Genomic DNA, 23,821 nt, shown 5'->3' with positions numbered 1-23,821 from the left:
TTGTACAACTCTACACTAAGAATCGTGATGTTCATTTTACCCCTTATCCTAATGTCCATTATCTATCTCTTTTATCTTCATTAAGCCATGAGTGTGTGCCGTTCAGAAATACTTCATGAAAAAAATTGAGTGAAAAATAGTTCTATATGAAATAAAGTTTTAATATTATTGAACCTCAATTTCCTCTATCAAAGACAGAAAAAAAGTCATTTTTAAGTTAAAGTATTTTAAATACGTTTTAAACTATATACATATAACGATATTTTAAAAAATATTAACACTGATCCAAAACAAAGGCAAAAAAACAAGCATTTAAAAAAAGGGGAATTAACTTTTGCTTTCTATGCATTACCTCTTCTTTTCTTCTTTAGCTGAACTAAAAAAATAATGATAATAAAAGCAATTGTGTTGCCAAAAGTTGTTGCGAATGTGAATGTGGTAAAAGATTTGAGGAGTAGAAATTGCATAAACCTTATTCCTTGGAAAACAGTAGTGATTCATTCAATCTGTGCAAAGGGATGTTCTAACCAAAGTATTTCATTTTGTGCTTTATATTTTATGATGGAAAGAGTAGATGAGAATCTGCTTGAATACCAGATGTTTCTTGTTATGCAACTGTTTCCATTTTCAACTGCCCTGCACATATAAATGTTTAAGAAAAGTAGATTTTACCTGAAGTTTAGATCTTGTCTTCCTTTTTTAATTTCAATTTGGACCTCTAAGTGTATAGGCTTATTATTGATTGTGAGTACCTTAGATGATGATAGTGATGATTATCATCATGGTCATATTTATAACATTAAAGGCTCCTTTCATATTTGAAGTTACCTTTCAATGTAATGAAATGAAATCAAAAGTTGTTCCTGTAGGAGATGAACATAATAATGTGACTACTGTATGCACCTCCAAAGTTTCACTCTAATAAATTATAGCTCTGTTCCACCTGACTTAGAGATTATAGAAATAAATTCGAAGGATAGTAATAATCCAGGATCTATGTGGGAAAAAATGATATATCTCGTCTTTCCTGAAAAAAGAAAAGATTCAATTAGCTAAAGTTATGTAAAACTTATTTATCATCTCAGTCTTTAGAATACTTCTGAAAACATCTATTAAATACCTCAAGGACCAAGAAATTCATTATACATGGGTACCAATTCAGAATACAATATGCTAAACACCTGCTATCTTGTTGTCAACAATAAATGATTACAAACTACTATGTTAACATTTAGAACCTGTTAAAATAGGCCATTGTGAATACAAGTAAACAATGTCAATAGGAGTAAAATTGGTTTAAAAAGATGCTAATATTTTACTTTGGAGTGACATTAGCTACCAAAAATATATACACAAATCAAAACTGTTTAAAATAATTTTTATGTGATCTTAGGAGAATATCAACCTGAAAAATAGTAATATCATCTTAGATTTCACACGTGAAACATGTAGAATTAATATGCATGCATAATTTTTGCATAACATATTTAATTATGAATATAGAAGTAAAGAATAACTCATAATTTTCTGGGAAAATAAAAAAAATAATATTTAACAGAACTCTAGCTACTGAAGTATTATTTGAAAGAGTTTTAAGATCATTGTTGTGTGAGAGGAATATATGATTTTTTGAGTTTTTTTTATAGTCTGCACAAATACAATTGAAAAAGTAATCATAAGTATTTTGGTATTGCAAGGACTCTGTAGCTGAGCTATCTAATTAAAAATAAAAATCACTTATTTTGTTTTAACCTTTTAACGAAAATTATTTTCTCATAAAAGAATCAAAGTATGTTTAATACTTCCTTGGATTTTTAAAGAGGTAATGAGCAGTAAATTCACCAATTATTCATACATATTACCAAATGTCATTTGCTGATGAGCAGCAAACTATGAAGGAAAGATATCATCTAATAAAGGGAGAGATTTTGGTCCGATTTCATACTCCATGAGTTCTCATTCTTCAATGAAATGCTTGAATAATTTTATGCACAGCATTGCAAATAAAGGTAGAAAATTCTTCAAGTTTGTTTGACTTTGGGCTTAATTGAAATGCCTCTTCCACAATCATGTGTGCTAATTCAACCAGCAAACTTGATGTGTTTTTAAATGATACAAAGCTAGATAGTATATCACATTTTGCAAATGATACATCCTGATGTTAAGAAAAATCTGTGTTGCTCTTACCAATCCACTGACTTGAGTTTCTGTAAATCTCTTTTATCTGCACCAATAATTACCGTACTTCAGCAAGGCAGTTTTAATTAAATGTCATCCTTTAAAATCAAGAAACACTTACAAGGTCAAGTAGGTCTAGGATAAAACTAAAGTGTGCTCTCAAATCATGGATTACTTGATATTCTGCTATAAAGAAAAATTGTAAATGGGGCATACATAATTCTCCTCATACAATTTTAATGAGATTTTGACCAGTTCAGAATTGTTTTCTCTGTATAATTTTGCAATTGTTCATTGAAGGATAATGCTTTCTTACATTAGAATATGAAAAATACTTCTACGGGAAAGCATTTCATGCAATAAGTGTTATGTTTTATATATTTTATGAAAATAATTTTATGAGTATAAACTTTTTTGTGAAAAGAAGTGAAAGAACTACCCAGTTTACAATTCTTTAGCTGTATTGCAGAAGTTCAAAGATAATGCTGTTAACTTTTTCATTGTATTCATGTGTGTGTATAATTAAATACATTAGGTATATAATATATGCTGTACTATTTCTAAGCCAGTAAGGGGATGAACTAGATTATATATATTGATTTCAATTGTTTGAGAAAAAAATATTCAGTCTCTAAATACTAGCTTTTCATACCATAAACCACACCTCCATTTTGTATACAATTACATTTTTTTAGTATCTACTACATATATACTGAAGGGAAGGCAAAAAGAAGTAAGCAAATAATTATCAGGAATAGTAAAAAAAACTTCATATAGGACCTGAAGTTTTAAGAAACTGTAATAATAATATTTATTAATTATGTTAATGCAAAAGCTACCTTATATGATAAATGGACAAAGTGAAAAAAAGAAAATAAACCTGTCCCAGATTGTGCAACTTGTTAGTGGCAACACTGACATTTGAACCCAATGCTAAAAGGGGTCTATAATGTATAATCTTATCTTTTAGACTCTTCAGCCTCTGATAGATGAAATTTTACAGTTTGGACAAGAGAGGATTTGACAGACAGCCCAGTAAAACAGGACTATCGGAGCCAAGACTGAGGAATATAATAGCATTGTGTGTTTGGGCAGACAAAACTTTCTCTTATATGCAGTCCTGTCCAGTTCCCCTGCTTCATCTCAAGCTTTGTATTAAGAAACATGAAGAGCTTATGTGCATACTTTCTCATCTCTGTATCTTTGCATGTGCTATCACATCCATTTGGAACCCCTCCCAAAACTTCCAAAATGGGAAAAAGCTTCCTGTTTCCTTTAAAATTCAACTCAATGACCACCCCAACTTTAAGTCTATCTTCCTTTTCTCCTCTGTCCTTTTATAGTCCCCTAGTATAGCATGTTATTTAATTTTACATGTTTTTAACTTATCTTTTTATTTGTCAGTAGTGTCTCACACAACTACTAGTACATGGCAAATAATTAAAATTCTATTGAATTAATTAAACTTGCATATGGATCTTGTCTTTTTATGGTTTTCCTCTCAACCTTTTATGTTATTCCTGATACATATTAGAAATTCAGCCTTCTAAAGACTAAATTGATGAGTTAATAGGCTATACAATATTACATACTTGACATGTGCCCATGACTTTGCATCTGCTAGGCCTGAGCTTAAATACCATTTCTGCCATTTAGTTGTCATTTAATTAGTCCAGATGTCCAGTATTCTTGAACCTTCATTTCTTCATCTATAGACCAGGGAATATGTACTCAGGAGGCCGAGGTTGGAGGATCACTCGAGTCCAGTAATTCAAGGCCAGCCTGAACAACATGGCAAGATCCCATCTACAACAACAACAAACAAACAAACAAGAAACAAAAGACAAGGAAACATAAAAACTACACTCAACTTCCCATGTGATGACCATCAATACGGAGTGAAATAATATATATAACAAGATCACGACTAACCCAAAGGATAGTCAATGTTCTATTGAACAATGTTCTACTGAATACAGTACTTATTGTAATTGGTGTTAATGTTGTTATTATCATAACTATTCTTATTTTTATTCCTTAAATATATTTCAACCTGACCCTTCAACAATATTTTAGATAGGATATTGAATTAGAACATTTATAAACTAATGAATAGAGATAAAATAGGAGATGTGGAGTTGCAAGTTTTGAGTGCTTCAAAGGAAAAAAAAGACATTTTCAAAAACATAAAATTTTTAAAGGAGAGTGCAGAAAATTATATGTTGACCAAATTTTGACAAGTTTCATATGGCTACCAGGCTGCCTATGGATATTCATTTTATAGAGACTGCTGAATTGTTCCACAGTTCTGGAAAAAAACCATTGAAATTTCCATATAATTATGTATACTGCCTTTGAGATACTGGGGGACTTCCTAAAGAGACATAAAATAGGGGACTAAAATCATTTGAACCAATTACAGACTGAACATGAGTTATATTAGTGCAAAGTAAGACATTCTTATAAATGTTAAAGACTTTAAAACAGTTTTAACAATATCTCAAGGTTGCTCATATCTATTCTAGCCATGTAAAACTCCAAATTCAGGACTTTCTTAAGTCAAAGCAATCAATAATATGCTTTAGTTAATCACAGGTGAACTACTAAATTATGTTACTGGAAATGAAAATCAATTCAAATTAAACCTTTTGTGAAACTTCAACACAATTCAGGTCAATGTTTTGGGCTACTTCTCTAGTTGCATTTAGTATCATTTGTTCAGGGATATCTTATAGTAAGTTAAAGGTCTATTTCTCAAAGTGCAAAAATTGCATTGCTTTAATAAACTCAGCCAATTCTCATTTTGGAAAACAAATATTCAGTAAAATCAAACAAAGTGTTTTGGACATCAGCTTTAATAAAAATTGTGCATTGTCAATTATATTTGCAAATCCAAAAATAGCATTGCTCATGCTCAAAATATTCAAATTCACAAAGCAAACTAAAACTGCATATTCATTTTCTTGACTTTTACAATTAGCTATATTTAAAAATATTGATAACTATGCATAAGGACATTTTGGCAAGCCCATCTAAAATCCACAAATATACTTGAATTTGATTCAGCATCTGATCATATTTGACTCAAATATGATTCAACTTTTTTTTACATTGGGAATTTTAATGTCTAAGGAGTATTTTTATTAAGTTTTCTTCAGTAAGAAACTCTTCCCTTCTTGTTTAGAGAACACAGGTAGTGATTTTCCTAATCATATATCTGAATCTCTGCTGAGCCTTCTCCCAGCTTTTCTCCAAAAATTACTTTGCCACTGTATAGTATGTATTTTTAATAAAGAAATTATTATAAAAACATTCTACTATTATTTGATTCACTATTTCATTTATTCATTCCAACATCTATTAAGATTTTACAATGTGCAAATCAGACTTTCCACTCATTAGGAATATATTATTTTTACAAAGATCAATTGCTTTGTAAATATTAATATAGCAGGGTTTATTATATAAGAACTGCATTAAAAAGTACAGTGAAGGCCGGGCGCGGTGGCTCACGCTTGTATTCCCAGCACTTTGGGAGGCTCAGGCAGGCGGATCACGAGATCAGGAGATTGAGACCATCCTGGCTAACACAGTGAAACCCCGTGTCTGCTAAAAATACAAAAAATTAGCTGGGCTGGTGGCGGGCACCTGTACTCCCAGCTACTCAGGAGGCTGAGGCAGGAGAATGGCGTGAACCTGGGAGGCAGAGTTTGCAGTGAGTCGAGATGGCGCCACTGTACTCCAGCCTGGGTGATAGAGCGAGACTCTATCTCAAAAAAATAAAAAAAATAAAAATAAAAATACAGTGAAAGCCATTAGAAATTCTTGGAAGAAATAATTTTTAATCATGAGAGCTACAATTTCATAAAAACAGTGGCCTTTTAGCAAGAGCCCAAAAGATAACTGTGGTACCATAGATAGAGCCAGAGGGATGGAACTCTAGACCATAGGAATGACATCAGCCAAAGAAGCGATCTAGGAGAATGCAAAGCACATTTGAGGAACATTATACAGACAAGAGACTTCATTCATGGGAGAAGTGTGACACTAATGCTCAGATGATTGTTAACAATGTTTAGCAATAAAGCACATTTTAATTGAGTTATGTACATTGTTTTTTAGACATACTATTGCACACAATAAACTATAATATAGTGTAAACATAACTTTTATATGCACTAGGAAATCACAAAATTTCTGACTCATTTTATTGTGATATTCATTTTACAGTAGTGATGTGGATCCAGATCTGCAATATCTCTGAGGAATTCCTGCATTGAATTTGATAGTTTTATGAGCAGGGATATGATAAAACAATAATTAGTTTAGAGAAAGGAAATCTGGAAGTGGCATGGACAAGGGACAATGGGTCAGTGGAGGAGGATTCTAGGAGCCTTGCCTGCCGTCTTCCTGGCTCCTATTTAGAAAGGAATTGATACAGTACATGTACAACTAAGGACCTGGTCAGGTTTTGGGGGCTGATAGCAGTCAGAATAAAAATGAAAAAATATAAATGACAGAGATAGTGAAAAGAATACATCAAAATAACTTAGACATTGAAAGAACTTAAACAAGTAAAGTAGTCAAGGCCAGGGAAATCTCTGCTAAAAATTGCTTAAGAAATATGAACAAATATGTTGCCTTTCTGAAAAGTATTTTTTCTCTTCAAGTTTTTTTTGGGTATAGACCTGATGCAGGCACAGCGAATGAGGTTAAATATATAGCTTGTTTATTCTTTTTTTCCTTCATATATTGCAGATTGAAAATGGTCACAAATTCTTTATACTCAGCCCCTTGTGATACAGTCTATTTTTCCTTGCCTTGAATCTGGGTTGACTTATGACTATTTTGATCAATGGAATATGGCTAAAGTAAAGCTATACAGATCTAGACCTAAAATTCAAAGAGACTGGTAGCCTTTGCTGTGGTTTCTAGGATCCCTGAACCATCCTATAAAAACTCCAACTAGCCCACTGGGGAGGGCTTGAGTCTACATGGAGATGGAAGCAGCCCAGTTTAGCCCAGCCCAGTTATCAGATGAATATCACTAACTGGATCATAAGAATCACCCAGCTGAGTTCTGTGTAAATTCCTGACCAACAGAAATGCAGTTGTTGCTTTAAGCCACTAAGCGCTGTATAAATTGTTAAATAGAAACAGATGACTGGAATAATCTACTTCCCAATATTTCTTGTAGGAGAGATTGTCCTACTTTCCATAGTTTCACATAAAATGAGTTCATGGATTCATTTATTGAACAATAAATATTAATATGTAGTGAGACACTATATATGTATGAAGCATTGTAATAGATGCTCAGAATATGCAAATGAAAAAGATACAGCCTCTGCTCTCTAGAGGTCACAGTCCTGTAAAAAAGTAAGAGAGATTAGTAAAATAAACCAATAGGATACTTTTTACTATATCAGAAGTTTTCAGGGATTAGCCATGTGTAAAGGGGAAATAGGGGAAATGTAAGAAAAATTAAAAGAAAGAAAAATAAATTGACCTAATGATTTTTAAAAAGCTCATTGTTTAAATAAGCATGCAAGCCATAAATAAGACTTTCAAAAGGAAACTTCCATATACATTTAAGGTCATAAGCAAATGAAAATTTTCAGTCCTGTAGAAAAAAGAAAACGATAATTTAGAATTTGAAATACTGGAATCTTTCGTCAAATTCTAGTGGTCACCCAATATCACCTTGGATAGTTCATGTATTGGTTTTATATCAATTATTCTAGAAGAAAGACTTTTTTATGTTGAGAGAATCTTTATTCTTAGTTTAATTTTTTGATGACCAAAAGGAAAAAAAAATGTTTGCTATAGAGGTAATGGCTATCCTACATAATTTGGTACTAATAGTCTTCCTTCTTCCTGTTACGTTTTGGAGCAGCAGACTCGTGGTGAAATAATCCTTCTGCTTTATTTTTAATTTTTTACTAAATCTAAATCTCCTCATTAATATTCCTGGTTCACTTATTAGTCCTCCATAGTTCCTTCCTACATGTTGGCAGAAAAAGTTTCTATTAGACTTCACCTCAGTTTCCCTTCTCCATTTTGCTTATTTTCCAAAAACTGGTCCGATTTCCAGGCTCAGTTCTTCCCCCGTAGAGAGACCATTTATAGCCAATTCTGAAAAACTTAAGCACCAAGAGCCTCACAAGGGGCTTATTTTTGAGTAGCCCTTCTAAGATAATTGGTCTTTGAGCACAAATGGCCAGTAGCTGCCATTTGGACCCCATCTTTTTTTTCTGATCTTCTTCACTGTTAATCTAACCAAGATATAGCCAATGCTGAGCAACAGATATTACAATTTACTGAAGGCCACCTCCCTCCTGCCAAGACTCACAAGGCAATGGTATTAGGAAATGGGGCCTGTTGGGAGGTAATTAGGTCATAAGGGTACAGCCCTCATGAATGGGGTTAATGCTCTTATAAAAGAGATCTCAGAGAGTTGCCAGTCCTTTCCACAGGCTGTGAGGATGCAGCAAAAAGATTGCCTTCTAGGAATTAGGAAACAATCCCTCACCAGATACCACATCTGTCAGTGCCTTGATCTTGGACTTCTCAGCCCCTAGAACTGTCAGAAATGGATTTCTGTTGTTTGTAAGCCACTTAGTCTATGGTATTTTATTATAGCCAACTTAATGAACTGACATCATAACACTGTGTAGGCAAGTAGATGGGCAGGGAACAGCTATATGGACAAATAAGAAAGCACACAAGAGCTCTAATGACTTGTCAAGCATATTTGTCTTTGCTTAACCAAATTTAAGTCACAATTGGCTAGCTTAAATAAACTTGAAAAGTGCAATAAAAAGGACAAAAAAGACCTTCTTTCAGAAACTGGGCACTAAGCCACCCCTTTTTTTTGAGATGTATATTGTTATCAAGCAGTAAGATACATTTCTCACACTCTTGTCACCAGTTTTTTTTCTTTATATTCAGATATCCTATCATTAAATTATTACTAACTACCTCACAGTAAAACCATGTTTGCCACAGTAAGTACCATATTTGCCTCTTGGATTTTATTTAGTTTAAATGCACTGTTCTTTCTATGTTTTGTTCAAAGTGGATGTCAGAGTTAAGTGTAACTTTTAGTTTCAATCTACCTTACTGAAATTTTATAATGCCTTCTTTTCCATCCTGTGTTAAATCTCAGGATTGTGTTAAGTAGAGAAGCCCCATAAAAACATCCTGTAAGTAAAATGGAAAATAAGAAAATATCAAAAATACAGAAGTTTGACTTGTACTTATCACTATTAGGTAAGCAAATAACTGCATCAACCCCTAAGCCACTCAGTTACATTCTTTGCCCTAAATGGCTTCTAGCAGTGAAATCAACATTTCAAGCATAGTTTTCAGCAGTGTTGTCAGACATTTCTCAAGGTCTGAACCCTACACCATGGATGGAAGTTAAGTCTGGTAGGAAATATTTTTTTTTTCTTTCTCTCTGCTAATGAAGACATTTTCAAACAAAGATTTAACATGATTTTCTAGGTGGTAAAAATCTGATGTGTTTCTCTGCTTTTAAATTAAGGTAGTAATTTGGCAGTCACAAAAGTAATCTTGGCCATGTATCTAAAAACATAAAACCAAAACACTTGTAGCTGCCAGGTGTCTAATTTTCTGCTTGTCACACTCATGTGTATGAACTGAGAAGTCAGGCTGTTTTGTACAACGTCTGAAAGCCCAGTTCATACTTCAGCTAAAATAAAATTTTACATGGCCCACTCAGCCTTCTGTACTTATAGCTGCTTTCATATTATATTAAAAAAAAAGCACCCTTACCCAGAAGGATATAAAATTTATCAACTTTTAACTGGGGAATGCAAATTATTTGAAAGTAGAGCTTTCCTTATAGGCTTTATCTGTCAATGAATGGATCAGGTGACCAGTGTAATAATGATTTAATGAAATCATTCATATAAAAATTAATAAAATGTGCTTATTTTTCACCAATTCAGTTAGTAATTTGACTAAATCCCTAGCTGAATAGATCAAAATAGTGAACATACTGTGTGTAAATAGGCAGCATGCTCTCTGTCATCTCTGAAGGGAAATGATTTGATTTAAAGGGCACACAGTCTGCCTCCCATTCCAGCCTAACAGGCACACTGACAAAACAGTTGGCAGAAACTAAGGCCAGGTCCTCTGCTGGGAATTCTATATATGTTATCTTGTTAAATGCTCATTATAAGCCTGTGAAGTAATGTTAAAGAAAAACAAATATTTATGACACTTATTAAAGAGGATACAGAGGACTTTTATCTCAGTAGATATGGGGACCACTGCAATAGAGTCTCTAGGTAGAGGAGAGAGATTGGGATCAATTTTAACTCCAACAAGAACAAGTGGGGATTTACAGCTAAGGAGCAGGTTTGGGGGGTGGGGGCGGTCACAGGATGAATATTTACTAAGAGAAAATATCAGAGGTAAGGGAGATTCTTGCTAGGCCAACTGAACAGAATTCTTGCTGAAGGGAAGCCAGGGTGAGAAGATATTGAGTCTAGAGGATAAGGAATTTGATCAGGTATAGAAGGTGGTCAAATACAAAGAAAGGGGAATTTTTTTTTTCTAACTTGACTAAGCAGGATTCTTGCTCAAACTGAATTCTACAAGGACAATAATGAAAGACCAAGGTCAGGCCTAGTCCAACAGAGGGTTCAGAGAAGATAAAGTTAGGTCAAAGGCTGTGCTCATGCCTATAATCCCAGCACTTTGGGAGGCCAAGGTGGGAGAATCCCTTGAGGAGGACTTGAGTTTGAGATCCCGGTCTACAAAAAGCGTAAAAATTAGCTGGGCATGGTGGCACACACCCATAGTCCTAGTTACTCAGGACACTGAGGTGAGAAGATTGCTTGAGCCCAGGAGTTTGAGGTTACAGTGAACTATGATCGCACCACTGCACTCTAGCCTGGGCAATAGAGCGAGACTCAGTCTCTAAAAACAATTTTTTTAAAAAAAGTTAGATCAAGGGGAGACAGTCTTTGTCAGCAGATATTTTAAAATTTAATAACATAGATAAGGAATGTGATGCTCTTTAAAAATAGTGTGTTTATAACTATTAATTGATTTAATTCAATTTCCAAGCCTTCTTTGTTCTTCAGCACTACCATGATTTGTTAACCTGAGAATAGGATGAAAACTTTCGTATTATTTAAAGAAGAATGCTGAAAGTTTCTAACAAAAAGGAGTATAAAATATAAAACTCACTAAACAAACAATTCATTTTGAGTAAGTAATTTTAAAATTGAGCAAATGGTAATCCCAAGGCCTTAAAAGTACAGGAATATTTTATTCATCAGGCAAGAGGAAAGTAAGCAAATCAAAAAGTACCTGCTTATTATCGCCTCAATTCTACTAAAAGTTTGAGCAGACCCTGATTTACTAACATTTGCAGAGCTCTGAACAAAGAAGGGCAAATCAGATTAATAATTAATTCACATTTGACAAAAATCATTAGGCTGCAGAGCTGTTCCTATGAATTGCAGATCCCATCTGACATTCACCATATTATTGCTCATACCAATGTAGATATGGGCAAATTAGCTGTGAGTTGCTGAAAACCGGTTAGCTGAAATACAGATCAATGCTGTTATTATAAAGACAAAACTAGCACACAAAAATGCGTTCCTCCCACTGTCTAACATCATCCATATTGATGTTTTCTGTCAATACATAATAATACACTGTCACACTTGATGGGACAGGGGGAACAGATTACATAGAAATTGCACTGGAATATGTTTTTGTACATTGTTTCTCTGGAACAGTATAATCAAAATGATTATTGATTCAGGAACTTTGACTGCTTGTCCCAACATGATGCATGAGGTATGGCAGGAGAAGTTACGTATTTTTATTCATTTTACAGTTGTGTTTAAAAGTGTTGGTTTAAAGAAAAAAAAAATCTGTAACTTACTCTTTATCTTCTTCCCTTGCTTCCACTTGCACAAGGCAAAACCCATGGAGTGGTTCATGATTTTTCATGCTCTCTCTGCAAATACATTTCTCTCCTCAACAGTTCGAAATGAGCTTTTCTTCGTCAATTTTTTACCATCTTAGATAGTGTTGCCATCATTTTTCACTGGCTTCCAGGTTGCTGTAGTATTCTCCTTCCTCGTTTCCATGCGGTCCAAGTGGAGTTAGTTGATATTACTCTTCTGATCAAAATTTGCTGTGGTTTCCCATATCACTGAATGAAATCAAGGTCTCCTTAAGACTCGCAGTTGCTCCTAAAGCTCAATGCTTCCTTACCCCTCGGATCTCTCATCACCCAATCTGCCCTGTTCCCTTTCTGACCCCATCTCCTGCTACTCTCCCTTATCCCTTGCACTGCTCAACAGCCATAGAGTCCAATTTGTTATTGTCAGAACCTTTTGGAGACGCATCTGACTTTCAGCCTTTTTATTTGTACCTTCCACCACCTAGATAGGTCACTTTCTCAGTGAGTCTTTCTTTGATACCACTCTATTCATAACTGTACCTTAATTCCTTTTTTCTCTTTTCTGCTATGTATTTCCTTTGAAATTATAATTAAAAATATGCTGCACATTTTACATATATTTTCTTCTTCATGAATCATTTAAATATAAGCTTTATCAAGGCACTGATTTTCTGTGCGTGTAGTGTTGATAGCATTTTTTTTTTCACTATTAGTGTCTTTGGCATCTGGAATAGTTCTTGGCACATGGTAGCTTTTCAATAAAATATTTCCTCAATGAATAAATGAATTATTCAATCAAGAAAAACATACTTCAGAGTCCTAATAATTTAAAATACTAAATATCTTCCAAAAGTAGGTGTTTATAGACAAAAATTCTAATTTTTATCTTATCAAAGCAGTAAACTCCATTTTATATTAGCCATTAAACAAATAACTACTGCGACGAATATTTTACTAATATTTTTCTATTTACCAAAGCAAATCACTGTTAATAGACCTCACTGAAATGGTGAAGGGTGTCATTATTCTGAATTGTTTATTCACAGATTTAGTCACCATTTAATATAACTGAATGGAAATATAAAGTGTCTAAAACTTACTGCTAAAAGTCTGAGAGCCATATCCAATTGAAAATCAATGTGAAATACGGAGAAAACATTTTTAACATTACATGGGTAAACATTTGGAACAATTCAATGTATACACAGATCTCTAGAAGCAAGTCTATCAGTAAGTTGAAGTATCCCTGGTCTTAACCCATTTGCCTCATTTATAGAAGATGGCACCTCCCCAATTTAGATTGCTTCATTCTTCCCCAAAGATATGCTTTAGGAGTAGCCTGGCATTATGACTCCTAGATAATTTAACAATAATAATTATTTTCTTAGAGATGAAAAAGATTATAGAGCTGGTAGAGTCAAAATCAATCAAAATACAACTGGAGGAAAACAGGCCCAAAACCTTATGCTCAGGATCAAACAGATCATTAATGGATGACCCAGACCAAAAGCCATGTCATCTGATTTGAGTCTTTGCTTTGATTATACTTGTATATTAGCATTAATTATATTACTTTATTCAATATAATACAAACATGAGAAAATGGGATACAAGACTTTTTGTTCTTTTAAGAATAAGTACCTCAGCCTGTAATCCCAGCACTTTGGGAGGCTGAGGCAGACGGATCACAATGTCAAGAGATCGAGACAATCCTGGCCACCGGCCACCATAGTTAAACCCCTTCTCTACTAAAAATACAAAAATTAGCCAGGTGTGGTGGTGTGCACCTATAGTCCCAGCTACTCAGGAGGCTGAGACAGGAGAATTGCTTGAACCAGGGAGGCAGAGGTTGCAGTGAGCTGAGATCGCACCACTGCACTCCAGGCTGGTGACAGAGCTAGATCCCGTTTCAAAAAAACAAACATAAATTTAAAAAAAAAGTACCTTAGATTACAAAATAAATAGTTGTACATTGCTACAATTTTAGAAATTGGAAATGCACAAATAATAGATTTACCTACAGCCCCACAACCCATGTGTAATGCTCTTCTCATTTAATATATTTAACATTCTTTATTTTATCCATTGAGATGATGCACATATTATTTGTTCATCCTTTCAATTTAATAATATATTTTAAATTGCATATTGTAAGTTGTTTTTTATTATAATTTTATAGTATCACACAGAAAAAAATCATGTGATATACCTTTGATATTTTCAATATGTATCCTCAGTTTTGAAGGTATTTCCAATTTCAAACTTACAGTGATTCAAATAAATCATTAGAATTGGAAGTATTACCACATTTCCTCCATACCTATGATGACAACCTCACTGCTAGACATATAGAAGTTACCTGACACAATGTTCATTGAATAGATAGTTTTCGTCTTTGCTGAATGAGGATTCATTACAATTACATTATTGCAGACTTTAATTAGCTAATAGAATTAATGATCTTAATATGTAAATAAAGAAATACAATTGAAGTTAATTGTCAACTGGATGTTCCTCATTTTTATACTAATTTATATTTAATGATGGAGATCATAATGTTTGGGCACATTTTCTGTTATTAGTTCTTCAATTTTGTCTTTGTCATATGGCAGAACTGGTTTTTTGCAATTACTTTCTTAATGACTTCCAACTAATTCCTTAACAATAGCTATATTTAAGTGATTGAAATATGAAATGAGCATGTTGAAGCATAGCCACTTGTTTCACTGCAGATGTTTTAAGAGTTCCAATCATAGATAATTACTATAATTAATAGAATTTTTTGATGCAACAATGACTTTTTTCACAGTTTTTACATGTTATTTTATCTCTGGTTTTCTTTCTATAGAAGCCTGGAATTTAAGTATATTATAAGTTTTAGTCAAATGGGTTTTTTGTTTTTAATCAAAATACAGCAAGTGTCCAGATGGTTGGGCTAAAGAAAAGTCTCTATGGATGTTCCATTTATGTTCTTAACCAGTAGATTTAACAAAAATTCAACAGCCAAGCTTTCTGAATTGTGATATTAACATATTTTCTTTCTTTAAAATAAATTCACCAGAACCAATATCAAGCTGCTTCTACTTTAGGATGCAAAACACTGTATTTTCTAAAACCTTCCTTTAAAAATTATATTAAAAATATAATACATTAAAATATTAACAATTATTTGTTCTATGTGATGTAATTATAGCTTTTTTCTGTTTTTACTTTTGGTTTATTTTCAATTTATTTCTTAAATAAGTATGTGACTTTTACATGTATTCTATATTATGTTTTTATTTGTGTTCATTTTCTTTATGTGCCTCTCAATTTAGTTTCCAACTCTTTAAGAAATATTAAAAAATCATCAATTTATTTTATTAGGCCAGGTGCTAAATAATAGCTTTATTATTAATACAATTACATTTATTCATCATAATATATTTACATTATAGATATTATTATAATGTTCAAATAGTGAGCTTGTATTTTCTTTTCTGATCCTTCTGATTCCAAAGCCTATGTTCTTTTGAATTTGACAAAACAACTTCCCAGGAGCTGTTCAAACATGATTTTTTATGATAGCCATGGAGGGTATATTTTAAATGATCCCAAGCAGAATTACTCCTACTCTGTGTGTTGTTACTGTGAACGGTCTGATATTTTATCTTACTTACAAGCTAACAAATTAGTCTGTCATATTTTCATAGATGCTAGTAGAAGACACAAGACTCCTAGGTGAGAGACAAAGGCCTGTATCACTCACTGCACAAAAGGCGGGATACACACTGGCATATTTGCTTGACTTCCTCTCACCCCACCTGAATGACATGGATGGGCACAGATGGATACCTGCTGCACAGGCTCTCAGGCAGCCCTGGGCTTAGGGAACCAGAATCTTCATAATGGTCAACAAGCATGTTTTTCTTTCACTCCACTGGGAAACAACACTATCTTCATCTTCCAAAGCTGTTATACTTACAAACAACATTGGAAAGATAGTCCTTAACAAAGAGCAATTAGTGCCTAACTTGCTAGATGCACCAAAAAGATAAAAACAAACATGGAAAATTGTCTCTTAATAATATCCATCCTTAGTTTCAACACTCATTTGACTTTTGATGAAGTTTTCCATGATTATATCAATCTGTTGACCACTCTAATCTGACCAACAAAAGCTGGGACCATAACTATTCATTTTTTCTCATACAGTAACTAAGTTTAAAACAAATAGGACTATAATCAGCAAGATGAGGTTAATCTGCAGCATTGATCTCAGCCATGGCCTAGGGACCCAGCATAAGCCCGCTAATCAAATCTCATAATCCAGCAAGGTCTACTTGCAAATGCCAGGTGGCTGTCTCTCTATATTGAAATTACCTCTTGGTCTAAGGAGTTAATTCACATGTAACAGGATATGTTAATGAATGTGTGACTCCGCTTTGGCTTACAAGGAGGAAATCCAGGGCAATTCTATTATCCCTAACAACCCTTGTTCAGTGAGTAGAGTCAGGCGTGAATTATTTCCATGGCTCAAGTGGTGTCATTATTCACTTCAGTGAAAATCAGGAACACATTTTGTACCATCTTTTTATTCATTTGAAAAAAAATATGACCACAGGGCCTGCAAAAATGTTGAGTCTATTATGCCTCTAGGAGATCTCCACAGTCATCCAGGATTACATGATATATTGTTGTTGTGTTCTTAAACCCTTGAAGGTCTCTTATGACCACCCCTATAGTGAAAGTTACTGTGTTTTGGCAAGAAAATGCCTGACTTCCACATAAGAAGTATAATCTGAGGAGTACACATGGTGTCTCTGGCAAGAAAGTATTGTTTAAAATTGTGAGGTCCCTGCGGGTGTGACTTACATCAGTCTGGGGATGCATTTGACTAGCTGGTTGTCCTTAGGCATCATAGTTACTTCAGATAATTGAGTTAACTTCTTGTTTGTATGAAGTGTCTTAGGTCAGTCTGTACAACCTGTCCTGTTTTTCCATGTCACAAGCCAAGTAATTCCTCTGCCTCCTGAAATTACTAGCTATAGGAGTGGGAGAAGAAGACATCTGTAGGAGCTGTGGCATGTTTTGCCTGAAGGTACAAGAACTGGGACCACCGCCTAATCTTTTCTATTGACTCTTCAGTAATGTTCAGGGGAATGGCAATTAGGGCATGGTAAGAGGCATCTAGCAGGGGATGGTACACTATATCAGAGGACCTCAAGACCACCCCTGGGTTCAATGATTCACTATAATGACTCATAGAACTAAAAGAAAAGAAAAGAAACTTGTTATACTCAATGTTATTATTTTATTACAGTGAAAAGATAACAGTCAAAATCAGCAATGGGAAAAGGCTCATGGTGCAAGGTACAAAGGAAACAGGGCCAAGTTTTCAGATGTCCCCTCCCAGTAGAGTTTCATGAGGATGATCTTAATTCTTCCAACAACATTGTCTAATGTTGGAAGTGTTGCCAACCCATGCCCTGCAGTAAAGGGATATTATTGGAGATCAGTCACACAGGCATGCAGTGCTGTGCAACTAACCTCAGATACTCATCACCTCCAGAGAAGAAAGAGTCCTTCACTGTAAATCACAATGTTAGGACAACCTCAACTGATTAGGGCATACAAAAGCATTTCTATCAAGCAGAGTATTCCAAGGGCTTAGCAGTTATCGCTCAGGATCCTGCCAAAGGATCCTCTTGGACAGAGGCCTTTCTTTGGAATGTGTAAGGTTTTGAGCCATCCAGGCCTTCTAAGTTAACCCTTTCTTGACCAGAAACCTAGCTACATTTAAGATGCTTTCAATAGTTTTGGAGAGCTACACAGTGTTTTATTTCATAAGGAAGGTTCATAGAGAAGTTTTGAAAGGCAAACATTATAAATGTCTCTTCCCCCAACCCCAACAGCTTCCGGGATCTGAGATGCTCCCTCCTCAGGTTCCTAAGTTGTTATTTCTCCTCCATTACCAAAATCTAGGCACAGCTCTTTATAATAGTTATGACTATACTATATTTTTCAATCAGCCCTTCCTTACACTCAAAATTTACATTTGAATTGATCACATACAAGAGGAAAACAATTTTATAAAATTACAGAAATATATTATATTCCTGACTTTGCTCCATGTGGGTAACTTTGGTGAGCAGTGTACTCAACTAAGTGATTATTAGCCTTATGGCAAAGGACTATGTCAACCCAACTAAAAACTCCAGAAGCCTAAGTCAGAATTAAGCTTATCTCTCCTAGGACACATCTTGGATGGGCTGCCACAGTAAAACTGCATCCATCAGGCAAACCTGGATTTGCCATTAGAAGAAAGAATGAACCATCATACTCAGGAATGGTCAGGACAGAATCCTGAATTTTTAAAATAGGTCCATTTACCACTCCTTTTTATTTTATCATAACCCATGGATCAGCCAAGAGAAAATGATCTTTTTATGGAGGCATACACATTCAATGAGCAAACTTCCTTACAAAGGTGTATGGACCTGGAATACTAAGTGAGCTGGACTCAGCCAACTTTGGCAAGACTCACAAATCTGGTATGCAATGGTTGCCCCTGCATCAGAAACAGAATCTTTTACTATTTCCCTAGTCTATAATTGTGAAGATATTTCCATGTTCTGTATGATGATGGATCCAGGCAACAATGGTGGCATTCTAGGTGTTGCAGTTTCCATCAGCAGCTTGATTTCAGTTAGTCTCATCAGGGAATGGACACTTACCATGAGCAACTGCATGAGTCATTCAGATAGTTTACCTGTTTTTAATCTGCTAGTTTGTAGTTTTCTAAATTTAAAACAAAACAGGTTGCAAGAAATATCCCAGGAATAAGTAAAACAAACAAACTCCATCAAGAGAAGCACCAGCCAGAGTTATTAAAAATTACTTGAGTTCTACCCACTGAGTGAAGTTACCACATACCTTTTCAGTTTTGAACAGCAAGTGCTGAGTTACAGCTACAGTAACTTAGTACATGTAATCAGTTTTCAGCTTAGCTAATGCATCAGTGAACCAGCTCCAAACATTTAAGGAGACTTCTGTGAATTGGTTTTACTGAAATGGCACTGTTGCTTCAGATGGCAGAATGGTTTAACGTTGTCCCTCAAAGACCTAACCATTACTTTTTCATGTAATGCTGTCATGCTACTGGAGGCCTGTTTATTCCTGAACTTCCATTTGACATGAGAAGTATTTTTGTCCTGTCTCATCTTGTTAGTCATTGAATTTCAGTTGGCCCACCCTAAATGGAGAACATCAGGTCACAGACTCATAAGACCCCTGTAAGTTAGGGATTCTGCTTTCTTTAATTATTAGCCATATAATATAGTATTATAATTACTGCTTTATTAGCGTTCTCCTTCAGTTCTACTTCAGTAGAAGTAGAACTACTACTTCTACTTCAGTTCTACTTAAGTAGAACACTAATAGGTACTTTTCAGTTGGTGTATACCTTGTAGCCATGTTTAAGCAGTATGAAATTAATGAGTGCTTCCAGATTTGCCTCACTTTGTCATAGGTTCCAATCAGCAAAATCATCCATCACAGAGTCCTATATCTCAAAGCTCATTTGGGATGTGATGTGCTGATATTATTAGTACTATTCTCCATGCAACCTTTCCAGATCAGGATAATCCCCTCTGGGATTTTGAGCATTCATAGTAAAATTATGCAAACCAAAGCCAAATATTCATTTAGCAGTGGAAGTCACAGCAATATTACATTAAGTTGGATGAAAGTTGGCTGTACTGACAACATCATATTTGCTTTCTTCCTGTACTGCGAAATTTGTCCAAATCCTATCAGTTGAATTCAGGTACCTCTGCTCCACAAGATGGGGATGTGTGTGCCTACATCAAACAGAGCCATACATGTTTGAGTGTCTCACCCCCCCCAAATTCCCCAGCTTATTCAGATGGATGTGTATGGCTGTCAGCCCTACTGGGGAAACAGGGATTTTGGCAAAACCCTTGATCTTTTTTCTTCAAGGGGCTAACTTTGGACTAGAGGGAAGAGATAAATTAGGGGGCAAAGGAGAAACGATTACTCCACATCGGTGAGCAAAGCTTTGCATTCACTTTCAATTTTGAGTAATTGCTTATTTGAGGATCAACAGAATGAACTTCTAATATTTTCAAAACACTATTTCAGCTTTGGAGTTCACTTGACCCAGCAGCTACAGCTACGTTGTTTCTGACTAGGCTGTACTATTTATGCCTCATTGTCAGGACACCCTTTCTTCCTCTGCAATCATGGATAAAAGTGAGCAAAAAAGTAGTCACCATTTGGACACGTTGTTCTGATACTACTTCTTTCTTTTTTTGTGATATAGACACTTTTACTTTCAAATATTTTCTATCTTGTGATTTAAAGTTTAACTTTAAACTTAAACTTGCATACTAAGTTTTATGTTAGTTTATATGATTGTGAATAAAGATAGTTTTACCTCCCAATATGGATAGCTTTTTGATTTTTGAGGCGGATAAGGGTTAGGGGATACATTATTTTACTGGCAAGAACTACCAGTGCCTTGATGAATAAAGGTAGTGAGGGTAGGCATTACTGTCCTGTTCCTGATCTTAAGGGGAAAGCATTCAGTCTTTCACCATTTACCATGATGTTAACTATGGGTTTTTCATGTTTTAGCTGGTTGATGGCGTTCCCTTCTCTTCCTAACTTCTAGAATCTTCTGATCCGTAGTCAGACATGTTATCCATTGAGCCACTGGGCCCCACTCATCTTCCTAAATTCTTGTGAGTTTTTATCATGACAAGATAATGGATTTTGATAATTTTTTTCTTTTGAGATGATTATGTTGTTTTTCCTTTCTTCTTTCTCCTAGGATTGGCAAACACAAATCATGTTCCAAGTTCTGCCTTCCACCTGTGAGTAAATACTTTTGTAAACAAATATTTACCGGAACACAGACGTGCCCATTTACTTACTCAACATAGCTGAATAATTTCTAACAGCTGTCACATGGACTGTAAAGTCTAAAATATTTACTATTTGGCTTATTATAGAAAAACATTTACCAAACATGATTTATTATATTAATATGATGAAGTCATTAATTAGTTTTCAGTTAATTAAACGTCCATCCCTGAGAAATATCACAGTGTTATAGTGTACAATCTTTTTAACAATTAATTGATATTTTGCTGATATTATATCAAGAATTTTTCTTTTCTTTATTTTTAGTGTTTGTATTTTTTTTAGACAGGGCCTCACATTCTCACAGAGGCTGGAGTGCAGTGGTGCCATTGTAGCTAACTGCAGACAACATCCTGGGCTTAAGCAAATCTCCCACCTCAGCCTCTCAAGTATTTGGGACCACAGGCACACACCACCATGCCTGATTTGTTTTTTTAATGTTTTTGTAGAATAGGATCTTTCTATGTTGGCTAGGCTGGTCTCAAACTCTCGGCCTCAAGCTATCTTCTCACCTCTGTCTTAAAAGTGTTGCAATTACTGGCATGAGGTGCCACCCTAGTCCTTGTTAAGAATTTTTGTGTATTTTTTATGATGCGTACTTATCTTTAGTTTCATTTTCTGTCATGTCTTTTGTCTAGATTTGGTCTCAGAATAATACTGACCTCCTAAAATAAGTTGGAAAGTAGTCCCCCCTCTTCAAAACTTTTGAAGACCAGTTGTGTATTGTTTATTCTTTAAATATTTTATAAAATTTACACATGAAACTACCTGAACCTGGGCTTATTTGAAGGGGACTATTTCTAATTACAAGTTTAATTTTGTTACTTATTTTATGGGTCTAACAGATTTTGTGCTTTGTGTTGAGTCATTTTGGTAGTTGGTACCTTCATAGGAATGTGTCTATTTTATCTAGGTTGTCCAATTTATTGTCATAAAGTTGTTAAGTATATCCACCTTTATCCTTTTCAGTTGTGCAGGGTTGGTAGTGATGTCTCTAGCTTTATTTCTCCTTTTGGTAATTTGTGTTGTCAATCTTTTCTTCTTAGTCAGTCTAGCTAAGGTTTGTGAGTTTTGTTAACATATTCCAAGAACAATTTTTTTGTTTCATTAATTTTATATATTGTATTTTCTTAATTTCATGGATATCTGCTCTAATCTCTATTATTTCCTGTCTTCACCTTGCTCTGGTTTTACATTCTTTAATTATTCACCTCATAATATAGTATTGTAATTATTGCTTTAATCAGTCATATATTTTAAAGAAGTTAAGAGAAGAAATAAACAAATACATATGTATTGCCTTTTGTTAATCAACAAAATATATTTAACACTTCTGAGATAGTGTTAAATATAATCGACATATATTTAACACTTCTGAGATTTTTTTATTTATTTCTGTGGGTTCAAATTACTATCTAATATCAATTCCTTTTAGTCTCATGGATTTTAGTATTCAAAGGAAGGTCTGCTATGAACAAACTATCTTAGCCTTTGTTTATTTCTAAGTATCCTTACCTTGCCTTCATTTTTAAAGAAGAGTTTTGCTAGAGAGAGAATTCCTTGTTTTCAAAGTGGGTTTGTTTTGCTTTTAGAACTTTGAATATGTCATTTCACTGTTTTGTGTGCTCCATTGTTTCAGATGGTAATCCAATGTATAAGCAATGGACTGTTTTATTCTTGGTGCTTTCAAGACCTGATGCTTTGTTTTGAACAGGTTGATACATCTAGGTATGTTTCTCTGTGTATTTATTCTACCAAGGATTTAGGGTCTATTTTTTATATTCAAAAGTATACAGAAATGTCTTCATTAATTTGGAAATTTGTCAGCTATTTTTTTTCAAATTTTTTGTCTCTTTCTCTTCCTTTGATTTTTTCTTTATACATATATTGATATACTTTATGGTGTTTTACTGATTTCTAAGGCTTTGCTCGTTTTTCTTTAATTTATTTATCTTCTGTGTTTTTTTTCTTCAGTTGAATAGTTTGTATTGATCTACCTTCAAACTCACTAATTATTCTGCCACCTCAAATCTGCTGCTGAGTTCTTCTGAATTTTCTAAATTTCAATTGCATTTTTTTTAAACTCCATAATTTCCATTTGGTCCTCTTCAAATAATTTATCTGTCCTTATTTTGTTTTGTGTTTGTTGATTCATTGTTATTACACTATTAACTCTTTAGGCATGATTTTCTTCTATTTTTAAACTTATTTTTCATAGCTTTTCTGAAGTCTTTATTTGATAAAATAAATATCTACTGACTGTTTCTCCCTCCTTAACTGTCCTGTATCTTTGGATGTCTCAATTTTTTTATAGACAGCATATCATAGCAACTCTGAATTCTATTTTTCTCCTTATAAATTGATGTTTTGTTTTTACCTTTTTATAAATTTGCTAGGATTGTTTGTTGGTTGGTTGTATTTTTTGTTTGTTTGTTTTAGGGTTCAGATTTACCTGAGCTAAATCTATGAAATCTGTCTCCTCCATAGTTTGTACTCCCTAATATCCATGTTAAGTTTTTGTTTGTCTGTCCATGTTTTGTTCTGTTTTTAATTCTTGCTAAATGTAAGTCAAATTTTCTAGCAGTCACTTCTGTGTCTGTATAATTAGGTGGCAAGCTAATGATTTGAGAGAAATTGTGCTCAAGAGCCTTGAGCCAGTAAGGCTTTTGGTATATCTATTTGTATTTAGAGATATACATTCAAACCTCAGGGTATTTTTTTCCAATCTGATATCTCTTTTACTTTCCACTGGTTCTTTTCAAG

At 34.1% G+C, this 23,821-nt stretch overlaps 2 long non-coding RNA genes across 6 annotated transcripts in view; one reads left to right on the top strand and one right to left on the bottom strand.

The window, feature by feature from the left end:
• Positions 1 to 3,555: 3,555 nt before the first annotated feature.
• Positions 3,556 to 22,766, bottom strand: LINC02796 (long intergenic non-protein coding RNA 2796). Its single transcript, NR_187240.1, has 4 exons — positions 22,574 to 22,766; positions 12,110 to 12,382; positions 9,297 to 9,381; positions 3,556 to 3,984 (listed from the first exon to the last, which is right to left on the bottom strand). It is a non-coding gene; the product is annotated as a long intergenic non-protein coding RNA 2796 (long non-coding RNA).
• The window catches only part of LOC105378798 (uncharacterized), a 69,237-nt gene continuing 66,382 nt past the window's right edge, over positions 20,967 to 23,821 (top strand). For 4 of the 5 annotated variants that reach the window (NR_188687.1, NR_188686.1, NR_188684.1 and 1 more), the window contains exon 1: positions 22,696 to 22,786. This is a non-coding gene — a long non-coding RNA (uncharacterized LOC105378798). Of the gene's footprint in view, positions 21,010 to 22,695; positions 22,787 to 23,821 lie in introns of those variants that run through there. The other variant, NR_188688.1, reaches the window with a different exon arrangement.

This window comes from Homo sapiens, chromosome 1 (assembly GCF_000001405.40).
Source record: "Homo sapiens chromosome 1, GRCh38.p14 Primary Assembly".
In the NCBI taxonomy this organism is placed as follows: Eukaryota; Metazoa; Chordata; class Mammalia; order Primates; family Hominidae; genus Homo; species Homo sapiens.
Note: the sequence above shows the minus strand (reverse complement) of the source record. Positions and strands in the feature narration are given on the sequence as shown.